The sequence below is a fragment of the Homo sapiens genome, chromosome 2, assembly GCF_000001405.40.
Source record: "Homo sapiens chromosome 2, GRCh38.p14 Primary Assembly".
NCBI classification, from domain to species: Eukaryota; Metazoa; Chordata; class Mammalia; order Primates; family Hominidae; genus Homo; species Homo sapiens.
The window spans coordinates 235,555,464-235,569,030 of NC_000002.12; the positions used below are offsets into that span (position 1 = coordinate 235,555,464).

At 49.7% G+C, this 13,567-nt stretch overlaps 1 protein-coding gene across 3 annotated transcripts in view, besides 2 other annotated features; it reads left to right on the forward strand.

The window, feature by feature from the left end:
• The window catches only part of AGAP1 (ArfGAP with GTPase domain, ankyrin repeat and PH domain 1), a 637,751-nt gene that overhangs the window by 61,421 nt on the left and 562,763 nt on the right, over window positions 1-13,567 (forward strand). The window lies entirely within an intron of this gene.
• Window positions 6,375-6,544: an enhancer, noted in NCBI's record as "experimental_57171 CRE fragment used in MPRA reporter constructs". NCBI's record gives its function as "activates a minimal promoter by MPRAs in K562 erythroleukemia cells, with activity observed for the introgressed 2:236470567 variant allele {active_cell/tissue: K562}" and the evidence as "EXISTENCE:reporter gene assay evidence [ECO:0000049][PMID:34662402]".
• Window positions 11,704-12,204: an enhancer, noted in NCBI's record as "H3K4me1 hESC enhancer chr2:236475811-236476311 (GRCh37/hg19 assembly coordinates)". NCBI's record gives its function as "activates a minimal SCP1, AML or CMV promoter by ChIP-STARR-seq in primed H9 embryonic stem cells {active_cell/tissue: H9 hESC(primed)}" and the evidence as "EXISTENCE:reporter gene assay evidence [ECO:0000049][PMID:30033119]".

Here is a 13,567-nt window from a genome sequence, read left to right on the forward strand (position 1 = left end):
CCAGGCACATCCAGGGCTGGACTGGGGCCGGCATGGGGGTCACTGGCTGCAAGCGAAGGCAGCTTATGTCATGTTCCCTCTGCCACCGCCAGCTGTCCTGCAGCAGGAAGAGGTAGTCATGTTTGGAGGCCGGGCTGTGCATGAGCTATGCAGGCCTTGGGGTCTTTTCATCAGATTCCTTTTGGCAGAATATAAGGAAGTTGGCCCAAACCACATTTTTGAACTTCTGCTTTGGCCTTGTCAGTCTCCTTCTGTGATTCAGACCGTAGTGAAGCCCTGGTTGGCTGAAGTGCTCAGGAGAGGAGACTTTGGGGGTCATCACTCATTTCTGAGTTACAGAAGTTAAATAGTGACTTGGTTCGGGGTCATGCCATGTGTGTGAGGCCTGAGTTTGCAGGTTTGTGCAGGGCATTGATTGGTTGGTTGGTTGATTGGCTGAGGAATATTTGGGGCACCTGCTCTGGGCCATGTACACAATGAGGCAAAGCAATACTTAGACCTCAAAAACAAAGCGATGTAGACCTATCTGCTGTGTCCTTGTGTTTCTGCCTGTGGGGCACGTGGGACATGTGAGGGAGAAACAGCATCCTGCAGGAGAGCAATGCCTCCAGCTTGGCTTCTGGAAGCCTCCAGAAGGATGGACGGGGGCACTGAGACCTGAAGAAGGGTTGTGCATGTGGGAGGGAGCCAGCCTGGTGGACCGTGGCCTGCACACCTGCAGCAGCTCCTCAGAGCTGCCCCCTCATGCCTTGGCCAATCACAGAGCACCCTTTCTGTCCAGGCCACTGATCAGCCCCCAGGTCCAGGTCCAAGAACAAGCCTGTGACCCCCTGGGTCCCCTTTGTCCTTGGCCTATACCTGCCTTCTGCATTCTGGGGCTACCCTTTGCTCCAGTGGCTACAGAAGAGAGAGGAGGGACACTGACCCCAAGGCCCAGGCCAGTCTCGTCCAGGCTGCCCACACCTAGGTCTTCAGGATGGGACAAGGCAGTCTTGGGGGACTTTGGGGTGACACAAACCAGAGAAGGGCTTCAGCAGAGGGCCATGAGTGCCTAACCGTTTACCTGTTTTCTGCTCTGACCAGGCACCTTGGGGGAGGGAAGGCATCAGGAGCCTTCTGCTGAGTTCAGTGGAAGGTGGTCTTCCTTTCCAATACTCTGGTTCCCTCTCTCCCCTATGTGCAAGTAAATAACATGCTACTATATGTAAATTAACACAAATGAATGTAAGATAGTTATATGTGTCTACTGCCTTAGAAAGTACAGTAAGATGAATATTAAACTTTTCAGACTGTAAGATCGTGAATCTGAAAGTCGTTGCTTATTGTATATTTGAGAAGTGGCACTTATTTACCCTGGAGTGAATGTGTTACTGGAAGTGTCTTGGCTAAATTCCTGACCTAAGCTTGTGTGGTCTTTTGCTCTTCATTGGCAATGTAGAAGTCAAGTTTGAACTGAGGGCTGTCTTATTTTAAATCCAGGTTTGATCATTTTCTGAGGATATAGCGTTTAGTGCACACCTCTTTTGTGCAACTCAGGGCTTTCTGGAGGTTGGGGGGCGGATCCCGAAGGCAGACTTGGCCTTCCCAGCTGGCGCGGGACTGGGGACTTAGGGGACTGGGTCCTGGGGTGAGCTCTGGAGCCCGTGGGTCTGGTTGTCTTGCTGACCTGGTCTGCCTCCTGCTTGCTTCCATAGCAGAGCCTGTGGGACGTGAACCACCATTCATGATCCTGGGAGGTGAAGCCCTGGGAACTGCCACTTGGAATGAGAGGGGAAGGCTGGAACTGAGCTGGGCTGGCCATGGGGATGCTCAGAGCCCGGCTCTTTCATGGGATCACAGTTTGTTCACCTTGGAAGCTGTTGCTCACCGCGTGTTGATTTTATTTAAGACTGGAAAGGCTTGTCCATGTATCGCCGTTGGGAAGGGAAATCACTCCGAAGACGGTGATGCTGGGTACAGGCTCTGGAGTCATCTTGATTTGGTAAAAGGCATGAAGTCTGAGTTCATTCCGAAGATTCTGGCTTTTGAGAACTTATATAAAGAGAACTTATAAAAAATGGAAAATGAGAAACGATGATGTCAGTGAACATTTATTGGCCTTTTTTTCTGTGCCAATAACTCTCAGTGCTTAACCTGAAGAAGCCCACTTAATCCTTCCAGCATCCTGTCCTAGAACTTTCCCTGCTGTCTGGATAAGGAAACTGAGGCACAGAGGGTCGAGGAACTTGCTGTGGTACACCCAGACAGCCTGACCCCAGAGTGGGCACTTCAGGTCCCGCTCCATGGCCGTGTGCACCTTCATGGTACGTGCTGGGGTTGTGCCTTATGAAAACAACGGACTTGGCTACATTTCGACAAGGGGAAGTTAGACACTTTAGATTCACAGTTAACTGTTGATGCTTAAATGACATTTGAGGAACCTATTGGTGCTTTCTTGAGCCCTGCGCCATGTGAGTGAGGTTTTGTGGTCCTGGACAGGTGAGCTCCCCTCCAGAGGCTGCCTGTTTGTAAAATAATAGGTTTAGATGAACAAAGTGGTCTTTAGAGGCAGATACACCTGGGGCAGAGTCCATCTGTGAGTGGGAAGAGTACCAGGCACGGGCTGTGGAGAAGCGGGATGGCGAGTAGGAGGCTGGCGGCCTTCCCTGTGTGGAAGGGGCCTTTCTGTGTGCCTGGCCCCGCAGGGTATGCAGTACACACGCACATTTATGGGGATTACTCGGTTCCGCATGGGCTGTGTGTAGAGGTGGGTGGGATGCTCAGTGGAGATGGACCAGGCTCTCCTCCTTGAGTACTGTCACCTCTTCCTTTTCTATTCTGTCACCTCCTTCTCATCACCTCTGTTGTCTGTCCCTGACAGGCTTCTGTGCTTTGGAGACCTCTGTGTGTCTTTCTTGGTTTTGGTTTCCCTGTCTCCCAGCATCTCTGGGAGATATGTGTATGATTGATTCCAAGAATAAAGTGTGACCAGGAAAACCATGTTTTGAAATCTGACCTCTCAAGCCCTTGAAAATACTCAGAGCTTTTCCAGAATGTTCTCATGTCTCCATCCACTTCCTTTCCCTTTCTGCTTTAACCCCGCTACCCTCCAGTCGTAGCCTTCAGGAGAAATAAAAAGACCCCAGAGAGGCCAGCCTACTTTCCCCCACACTGAGTTCCAGGAAGCTGAGTCTGGTTTTCCCATAGGAACAATGTTATGGGATGGGGACTGCATTCCTCACAAAGGACTCTGCCTCGAAATGTGCGATTAGAAAGATGCACCCGCTTTCAGCCGCAGCAACTTACAATAATGCCGTTATGCCCTCAGCCATAAACACATTGTGCAAATTGATTTCTTGAGGAGCCCCAAGGTACTGTGGGTAGAAGGAGAGCACATACACATGTGAGTGCTGTGAAATCATTACCATAGCCTCAGACATGTCTGTTCTTAATAAGGAAAAAAAAAGTTCATTACACGTCATTGAAGATTTTTTTTTTTAGATAGGGTCTCGCTGTGTGTCCTAGGCCGGAGTACGGTGGTGTGATCTCTGCTCACTGCAGCCTTCGCCTCCCAGGCTCAAGAAATTCTCCCACCTCAGCCTCCTAGGTAGCTGAGACTACAGGCATGCGCCACTACACCCGACTAATATTTTGTATTCGTGTGTGTGTAGGTGGGGTCTTGCCATGTTGCCCAGGCTGGTCTTGAACTCCTGGGCTTAAGTGATCCTCGCACCTCAGCTTCCCAAAGTGCTGGGATTATAGGCCTGAGCTGCCACCACAGTTGGCTTGAAGATTTTTTAGAAACTTGCCAGCTTAGTCTTTATAAAAATACGATGAAGGGGTGATTTGGGTGTCCCAAGACTGTTTGGAAGGTTGTTCTGACAAGCAAGTGCTGATGTTTTGTACTTGATCGGCTTCTCTGTGGCAAGCCAGAGGCGTCTGTGATGAGCGCCTGCAGACGCTGGTGGGTGCTTGCCGTGTGCCAGTGATTGATTGACGTTAGTGTCGGTATCTCTCATTGCGAACATTCTTCTCTAAGGTTGAAAATCAGTTTTTCATTATGTAAATAATGTGTACTCAGTGTAGAAAAAATTAGCACAGGAAATAGAAAGCTAAAGGATATCCCTCATGATCCCTCATCCAGATCCCCAGACGTGACCACTGTTATGTGGTTATATGTTACGTTATAGCCTCCCAGAAATTTTCTATACCCCTGAAATTTAACATTTTGGTGGGTATGATGTGGTATCTCAACTGTGGTTTTGATTTGCATTTCCCTGGTGACTAATGGTGTTGACCTTTTTTTTTTTAAATATGCTTATCTTAAAGCATATTTATATATTTGTATATCTTAGGAGAAATACCTATTCAAATCTTTTGACTGTTTTTAAATTGAGTCTTTTTATTGTTGAGTGGTTGGAGTTATTTATGGATTCTGGATACTAGACACTTATTAGATATATGATTTGCAAATATATTCTTTTTTTCTGTGGTTTGTCCATTAATGTTCTTGATATTCTTTGAGGTACTAAAGCTTTTAATTTTAATGAAATCTAATTTACCTGTTTTTTCTTTGATTATTTGGACTTTGGTGTCATATTTAAGAAATCGCTGCCTAATCCAAGGTCATGAGGATATACTCCTTGTGTTTTCTTCTAAGAGTTTTCTGATGGTTTCTTTTACGTTTAGGTCTTTGATTTTGAGTTACTTTTTGTATATGGTGTAAGATGGGGTAATTGTCAATTTTTTAAAAGGAAAATGAAATTCTATTAATATTGTTGTACAAGTTGGTTTTCCCCTCCACGGCATGTTTGGCTGTCTTCATATCAGCATGCTTAGATCATTTGATTGATTTTCTCTTCTTTCTTTCTCTCTTTCTGCTTCCTTTCCCTTCCCGTCTCCATCCCTCCCTCCTCACCTCCCCATGCCTCCCTCCATCCCTTCCCCTACTGTGGTAGACAGAAAAATGGCCCCGAGATGCCTGTCCCCTAATCCCCAGAACTTGCGATGATGTTACCTCACATGGCAAAAGGGACTTTACGGATGTGATTAAGAACTTTGAGATGGATGATCTTGTGGGCTCAAGGTAATTATGAGAGTACTTAAAAGTAGAAGAGGGAAGTGAAAGAGGAGAGTCGGGGACTGTGGAAGGAGGGCGAGAGAGTTGCAGCACTGTTGGCTTTGATGATGGAGGGAGGCTACCAGCCAAAGAATGTGGATGGCATCTAAAATTTCGGAAAAGATGAGGAAACTTGGAGCCTCCTGAAGGGCATACAGCCCTGCTGACACCTAAGCCTGGTGAGACCCACATTGGACTTGTGACCCTCAGAACTGTCAGACAGTGAAATCACGTCGTTCTAAACCAGTCAGCTGAGTGGTCACGGCGGCAGTAGATGAGTGCACCTCCCCTTTCCAACCTTCTAAACCTCAGGTGTTGCCTTCTCCACTAGGCCAAGCGATGCTCCAGGAAACCTCAGGTCACAGCCAGATGCTCCACCCTCCATCAGTTTCTCATGTGTCCTTGAAAAGTCATAAAAAATGTTGACCAGAATGTCAGCACAGACAGTAGAGGTGGGAGTGTTTCTTTGGAGTGGGTGCCGCTGCCTGGTTGTTTGGGCCATGCACAGAAGGCTTGTGGCAGGAGCCTAGGGTGTCCATTTAGCCTTCTCTGTTGTGTTGGCTTCCATAGGGTCACTGCCTCCTCGCCTGTGCTCTCTATGTGAACACAGAGTTTCTGCTTCACTGTGGGATGAGGAGGCTTCAGTGAATTGTCCACAGACCTAGTCGCTGTTTCCAATGTTATTTCCTTAGGGAAGAGTATCTCCAATTTTAAACTGCCCACAAACAAATGACGTTTAGGAAACCTTGTAGGTCAGGAGCTGCTGGGGTCTGCGGGTAAGAACAGGAGGGCTTCCTAAGCTCTTCCACTGATTTAGGGGGCGAGGTTGGGAGGGGTTTCCTGACATGGTAGAATTTTTCTTTATTCCTACTCGTTGGTTCAGGTGTGTAATTATTAACAGTTACACCCTTTATCTCCTGCTTCCTCTGGCTGCTGACTTGGAGGGATGCTGGGAGAAGGGGAGGGCTGAAGAGTTGGGGATGGGTGTGCCTGGCTTCCTTCTAAGGTTTAGGGCTGACCCTGGACAGTCCCAGCCCCAGGCAAGTGTTCTTGAGGCTTATTGCTGTCTGCCTAGCTGGGGAGGATGTTGAGAGGATTACTTAGCTAATTCAGTATTTGGAAAAAGTATCTGTAAACTTAAATAGAGGCCCATTACATACCTTTTGTGGATTAGAACTGTAATTGACTTAGTGTTTAAGGCAGAAACTAAGGCCTTTGATTTAAAAACTGTTGACAGATCGGAGCCTAAGCCGCTTCTGTTTGCAGAGGAGAGCCATGACTTCCAGTCAAGTTGAAACATAGCTTTCTTTATACCCTTCCCAGTTGGACTTCTGTCATATTTTACAAAATTCAAGGCTTTTCATTTAACTTAGATTTATGGCTTTTCCATGGACTATCTTGAGGTTTTTCTCCAAAGCAAACCAGCTCATACCTTGACATTGTCAAAATAGCAAAAACACACATCTTAACAAATGATGGCAAAATATTTGAGCTGAGAGATTGGGGTATGTGTAGTGTTACACCTTTGCATGTAAAAGATTATGTCAAGCAATCTTCTAAAGGAAATCAGTTTTTAGTTAACTTTTAAGGCTATTCACCATGATTTAAAGTGATTCCTTGATTCCTCTGTTACATTAAGTGTGATTGAAACTGTACCTTTATTTTCTCATGCCTTGATAAGCAGTGTAGTCAAATCATAACATATTATGACTGCAATCAAGTGATTATAGCACGTGATTATACTTTTTGTCTCTGTGGCGTGAGGAGTGGAAAGGTGTCTTTTTTTGCACCACTTGGCACTAACGGTGGGGAGAGATGGTTCCCCGAAGCCCCCTCCCTCTTGTGTGTTTTGGGGCAGAGCGCCCTGTTCCTGAATAGCACGGATTGCACGTGTTTCTGAGCATGGTGTGTGAGACTGCTTTCCCTTCCTGCAGTCAACTCGCCAAGGTGCCTCCCCAGCCCCAGCAGTCCGGCTTCTCTCCTTTCCGCTGCCCCATGCTTTCTGGTGGCCTGGCAGACTCAGGACTATCTCTGAGTCCTTCACAAAACCCTCCTCCACATGCCTTCTTTTGTGAAAACCCTCAGTCCTCTTTAAGAGCAGGGCCCCTGGAGCCAGACAGCTCTGGTTCAGTCCTGGCTCCGGTCCTCTGCAGCTGGGTGACCCTGGGCAAGTCACCATGGCTCTGTGTTTTTCATCTTTAAAATGGGGATGCTGGCTGGTGTCGCGGCTCATGCCTGTAATCTCAGAATTTTGGGAGACTGAGGTGGGAGGATTGATTGAGCCCAGGAGGTTAAGACCAGCCTGGACAACATGGGGAGATCCCCATCTCTTTTAAAAAATACAAAAAAATTAGCCCGGCCGGTGGTGTGCGCCTGTAGTCCCAGCTACTCCGGAGGCTGAGGCAGGAGAATCCTTTGAGCCCAGGAAGTCAAGGTTGCAGTGAGCCGCTGCACACCAGCCTGGGGCAACAGAACAAGACCCTATCTCAAAAAATAATTAAAATAAAATAAAATAAGTACAGTCGCTTTGCCCTGGGGCTGCTGTGGGGAGTCTGCAAACAGGACCTGCCTTGTGCTGAATGCAGCATCTCTGTTGTACTTGGGAGGTGTGCAGCCCCAGCATCTCATGCCTCGCACCCTCCGAGCTGCCTGGCCTTGGCTGTGCCCCCCTGCCCTGGCCCACTCGGCGTCCCCAGCACTTCATTTCTTTCCGTCCTGCCCCCCTTTGCTGTGTCTGGTCCTTTTATCACTGCTCTTGTGTCTGCCTCTGTGCCCTCCTGTCCTGGCCACGGCTTGAGATCACACTGCCGTGCCTCTTGCCCAGGTGACCCCCTGAGAAGCTACCTGAGCTCTGCTAATCAGCCCCACTTTCCTCTGCCCAGGCAGAAACTAAGATGCCTCGGCTCCTTCTGTGGAGGAAAGTAATGTGTTAATTGGATCCAGGGTCCTCAGCACACACTGGGCTATTTTTACAGTCAGACAGGAAGTTGTCGTTTTATAACTTTATCCTGTGTAAATTATAGCCCGGGCGGGGGGTGGGGGGACTTGGATTGTTAAGAAAGTGATCATCCTGTTCTTGGATAGGGTGATTTTGGCTGTCTGGGTAAGTTCTAGGAATTTGCTGTATTCTCTTGATTCTAATGAACTTTGCTATGGCTTGGGAAGGGGCCTCTGCATGGAGAGAGAGAAGGAAGCTAGCGTTTCTTGAGGGTCTGGTATATGCTAGGCACTGTGCTGGCTGCTGAATTGGACTGTTTGATTTAATCCTTGTCACAACCCCTTTGAAGTGGTCTTGTTACCCTCTTTTACAAATGGGGACATTGTGGCTCCAGCAGGTTAAGAAGCTTGCTCCAGGTTACATGGCTATCAGTGGGAAGCTGGGTGGGGGGTGTGGACAGGTCTGTGATTCCCAGACCCATCCTCAGATGCCTCCTGGAGCCTCTTTGTGGGAGAGTGCATGTGTCATGGCGAGTATGTGGCTCTGCGATTGGAGGAAATGTCACCGGACCAGTCAATAGGTCTTCCTCTTTACAATTAGCTTTTGTCAATGTACGTTTTTTCTTTAGTCCACACAACCTTTTAAAATTTATTTATGATCGTAGCCCTGGCCTTTATCCATCGAATCCTAAAGTGATCTGGCTGCTCATGACCAGGGGTGACAGCCAGGATGCTTTTCTTGGACCAAGAAACCTGGCTTAAATGACAGCCTTGAGCCTTGCTTTGGAGCAGTCAGACTCTCTGGGGATACTGTTACTATTAGTGAGCATTATTTGCTGCAGAAATTGATTCCTTCTGCCGTACAGTAGGCCAGGGAGGCCTCCAGGTGCCTTCGGTGGGGGAAGGATTTTAGTTGCTCAGGCCAAATAACCGAGACTAGCTCCCTGCAAATTCCATGGAGCCATCTATACTTCTGAGTATATCTTCAAGTGCTACTCCTAAATTTAAGGTTCTTCCACTTTTCATCCAGTTCACATGTAGTTGAGGGCCTGCCTGCCTTGAGCCTGACACAGGGCCAGTTGTGAGCCTGGACCAGCACCCACAGCCAGGTGTGAGCCTGGACCACCACCCAGGGCCAGGTGTGAGCCTGGACCACCACCCAGGGCCAGGTGTGAGCCTGGACCACCACCCAGGGTCAGGTGTGAGCCTGGACCACCACCCAGGGCCAGGTGTGAGCCTGGACCAGCACCCAGGGCCAGGTGTGAGCCTGGACCAGCACCCACGGCCAGGTGTGAGCCTGGACCAGCACCCACGGCCAGGTGTGAGCCTGGACCAGCACCCACGGCCAGGTGTGAGCCTGGACCACCACCCAGGGCCAGGTGTGAGCCTGGACCAGCACCCAGAGCCAAGGTATGAGCCTGAACCACCACTCACGGCCAGCTGTGGGTCTAGACCACCACCCATGGCCAGGTGTGAGCCAGGATCATCCTCCCAGGGCCAGGTGTAAGCCAGGGTCATCCTCACAGGGTCATGTGTGAGCCTGGACCACCACCCAGGGCCAGGTGTGAGCCTGGACCACCACCCACGGTCAGCTGTGAATTTGAACCACCACCCATGGCCAGGTGTGAGCCTGGACCAGCACTCACAGCCAGGTGTGAGCCTGGACCACCACCCACGGCCAGGTGTGAGCCAGGAGCATCCTCCCAGGGCCAGGTGTGAGCCAGGAGCATCCTCCCAGGGCCAGGTGTGAGCCAGGAGCATCTTCGCAGGGCCAGGTATGAGCCAGGAGCAGCCTGGCATTGGCCCCATGCCACATGACACTCTTTGTCCCTTGTCAGCATTTTAAACCAAGGTGAAGAGGTCCCACTTAGCTTTGTGGTATCTGTTTTATAGGAATGAAGGGGGTACTTTAACAAGTTCATCTTAGGGTTCTCATCTGCATTGTTGCCTGTGCAGTTACACCACTCATGCCTACCCAGCATAATTAACAGTGTGACCTACGAAAGGTGGGGCGGGGCTCACAGGAACTAACCAGGGATTCCTGTGTGTGAATGTTATTATGAAGGTGCTTTACCTCATTAGTTATTTGTGATGAAAATACTCTTAAAAGACCTGCTATAAAGTGTCAATACCAAAAGCTTCTCATGTCATTGACATTAAAAGACTTTTTGTATTTTTTTTGAGACAGGGTCGGCTCTGTCACCCGGGGTGGAGTGTAGTGGCATGATTTCTGCTCACTGCAACCTCTGCCTCCCAGGCTCAAACCACTCTCCCACCTCAGCCGCCTGAGTAGTTGGAACTACAGGTGCACGCCACCACGCCAGGCTCATTTTTTATTTTGATAGAGACAGGGTTTTACCATGTTGCCCAGGCTGGTGGGCAATTTGTCCACCTCAATCTCCCAAGATATTAAGAAACTGTTAAAGAATGTTTTGCCACTAAACTATTGTTTTACAACATTTCATTATGAAAAATTTCATACAGAAAAGTGGAAATAATTTTATAGTGAGTACTTGTACACTGATTGCCAAGATTCTGTAAACAATATTTCCCTCTGCTTGTGTCATCTTTCATTTGTCCATTCCTCGATTTATTATTATTATTATTATTTGAGGTGGAGTTTCACTCTGTCGCCCAGGCTAGAGTGCAGTGGCGCAACCTCGGCTCACTGCAACCTCTGCCTCCCGGATTCAAGTGATTCTGCTCCCTCAGCCTCCCAAGTAGCTGGGATTACAGGCATGCGCCACCACGCCTGGCTAATTTTGTATTTTTAGTACAGACGGAGTTTCTCCATGTTTGTCAGGCTGGTCTCGAACTGCCTTGGCCTCCTAAAGTGTTGGGATTACAGATATAAGCCATCACGCCCGGCCTTGTATTATTTTTCAATGCATTGCAAAGTCAACGGCAGACTGAAGGACTGCCGCATGCATAGCTGCTATTATTAACTCGAGATCAATATTGATTTACTGTTTTGTTTTTTTATTTCCAGATAAGCATTCATAAACAGTGAAAAGCACAAATCATCAGTGCGCCGTACGTTTTGGCCAGCACTTTATTTTATGGAACAGAGGACTAGATGACCAGTGCTGTGAGTGGGCAGGTCTGTCTCCTGCCTCTCTTATTTATGTTGTATGCCTGACACCTTCCTCATGCCGCAGGACCAGCCGGGACCGGGGAGAGGCTGTTCGAGGAACACAGGATGCATATTCAGGCAGGAAGTTGTTGGGGTTAACATGAGTGGACCCTAGATTTCCCTGCCTGAAGGGGGCCCCGTGTTAGTTTCCTGTGGCTGCCGTAACAGCCACAAACTAGGTGGCTTAAAACAACAGAACATCATTCTTTTACAGTTCTGGAGGCCTGAAGCCCAGGATCAAGGTGTGCCCAGAGCTGTGCTCCCTCCAGAGGATAGAGCAGGATTCCTCCTAGCCTTTTCCGGCCTCTGGTGGCCCCTGGCAATCCTTGGTGTCCCATCCAGCTGCATCACTCCAGTCTCTGCTTCTGTTATCACGTGCCCTCTTCCCGGCATGTGTCTTCTGGGTGGGTGTGAATTTTGGGAGGACACTATTCACCCCAGTACAAGCTTGAGCCTGGTTGCGGGGACTGTGTGGACCTCTCCCACAGGTCTGTCCCCCTAAAGGGAGCACACTGGCAGTGTGCCCACCCCCAGGCCAGCGGGCAGCCCTTGGCAGAGGGTGTGCCTAGAGCTTGGATGTGCGGGTCGGATGTCTTTGCCTCTCTTCTTTCCTGTCCTGGTTTCAGCTGGAAGGATGTTCAGATATGAGAATGGGAAAAGGCGGAGCGGTGTTTGTTCATGAGAGAGGACTGCTCTGCCCTCAGCTGGCCCATGGCCTTCCCTTCCAGAGCCCCAAAGGGCCCTGCCCTCAGCTGGGAGATGGGCCCTGGGCGTCATTTAGCTTGAGCACCTGCCTGGTCATCCTCTGCAAGCCCCAGTCACTGTCCCTGGGAGAGGTTCTACAGCTCCCTACCCACACCTGCAGCCTTGCTTCTCCCCGTGTCTGTTCTTGCGCTGTCCATCTGTATGGGAGCTGTCTTTTCATGGGTCTCAGGTCTGTGCCAGTATGCAGCTGGGGAGCTGTGAACCCAGGTGTGTTTTCAACCTGCTTCCCAGCCGGTCGCATACTGTGGGACTGGTGGACTATTTAGAGGTCTAGGGAGTGGTGGGGAGAAGGGGCTGCAGGGGAAGAGCATCTGATGGTGGTGGCCAGGAGGAACGTGGCACTGGGGGGTGGGCAGGGTGGGAATTGTCCACTGTGGGGGGCGGCTGAGGAAGCCAAGGGGTCTGGGCCTGTAGGGGAAGTGGGAGAGGAGAGAGGAAAGGACAAAGATGAAGGTGGAAAGGGGGAAGGTGACAGTGGCCTCTCAATATGCGGAGGGGCTTGAAAACAGGAGGGCTGTGCACTAGAGGATGCACTGGCGCAGAACTGAGACATTTCTGGAAGGTGGCTTTGGAGCCAGCATCCTTGCTGGTATGTAAGAAATGCCAGGTATATGCCCTCTGGGAGGTTGTGTGGGCTGGGTGACACTGCCAGTTCCCTTCAGTCTCTGGGGCTCTGACTCAGTGGGGATTCCCACACTGACCTCGTGATGTCTCTAGTGCCCTCAGGGACCCTGGACAGCATCCTGAGCTGCAGCCTCCATGAAAGGAGGCCCCTGAAGGTGGCAGGTTGTCAGATCGAGGCCCACATGGAGGTCATTCCTTACTGGGCTTGGTGATGCCCCGCCAGCTAACTTGAGGGCAAAGGCGTGCTTGCAGGTTGATGAGCAGCTCTGTGGGATCCGAGCTGCTGCTGTTCGTGGGCTGCCTGCTGTGGGCCAGGCACTTTGCGGAGCATGGACGCCCGTTCTCTTACTCTGTTGATGCAACAACCTGTTGAACCAGAGTTTTTCTCCGTTTTATGGAGAAAGAAACTGAAGCTCCTTGATGAAGTGAAGCCATGTCCTAAAGCCGCTAGCACTTAGCATGTGGCGGGCACCTGGCATGCATGCGTGGGATGGACATGGACTCGTGGCAGAACCGAGACCCAGACGGCAGGAAGGAGAAGCTGTGTATGTGTTGGAGGAGGATGTGGATCGCTGCTGGCTCAGTGCCGGTTGTAAAAGGAAGCAATTGCAGTTATTTCTTGCTGCTGCTGTAACAGATTACAACATACTTAGTGGTGAAAAACAGCACACGTCATTCTCTTTGAGGTCAGAAGTCCTTAAATGCATCCACAAAGCTGTGTTCTTTCTAGAGGGTGCAGGGAGAATCCATTTCCTTCCCTTTTCTAGCATCCAGAAGCCACCTGCAGTCCTTGGCTTGTGGGCCCATCCTTCATCCTGAAAGGCAGCAGCGGATGGAGCATCTTCTGACCTCTCACCTCTGCTCTATCATCATGTTGTCCCCTAGCTTTACTGCTTTTTCTTAGAAGGATGCCTGTGATTACATTGAACCCACCTGGATAGTTCAAGACACCCTCACCTCAATGCCATTAATTTAATCACACCAGCAAAGTTCCTTTTGCCATATAAGGA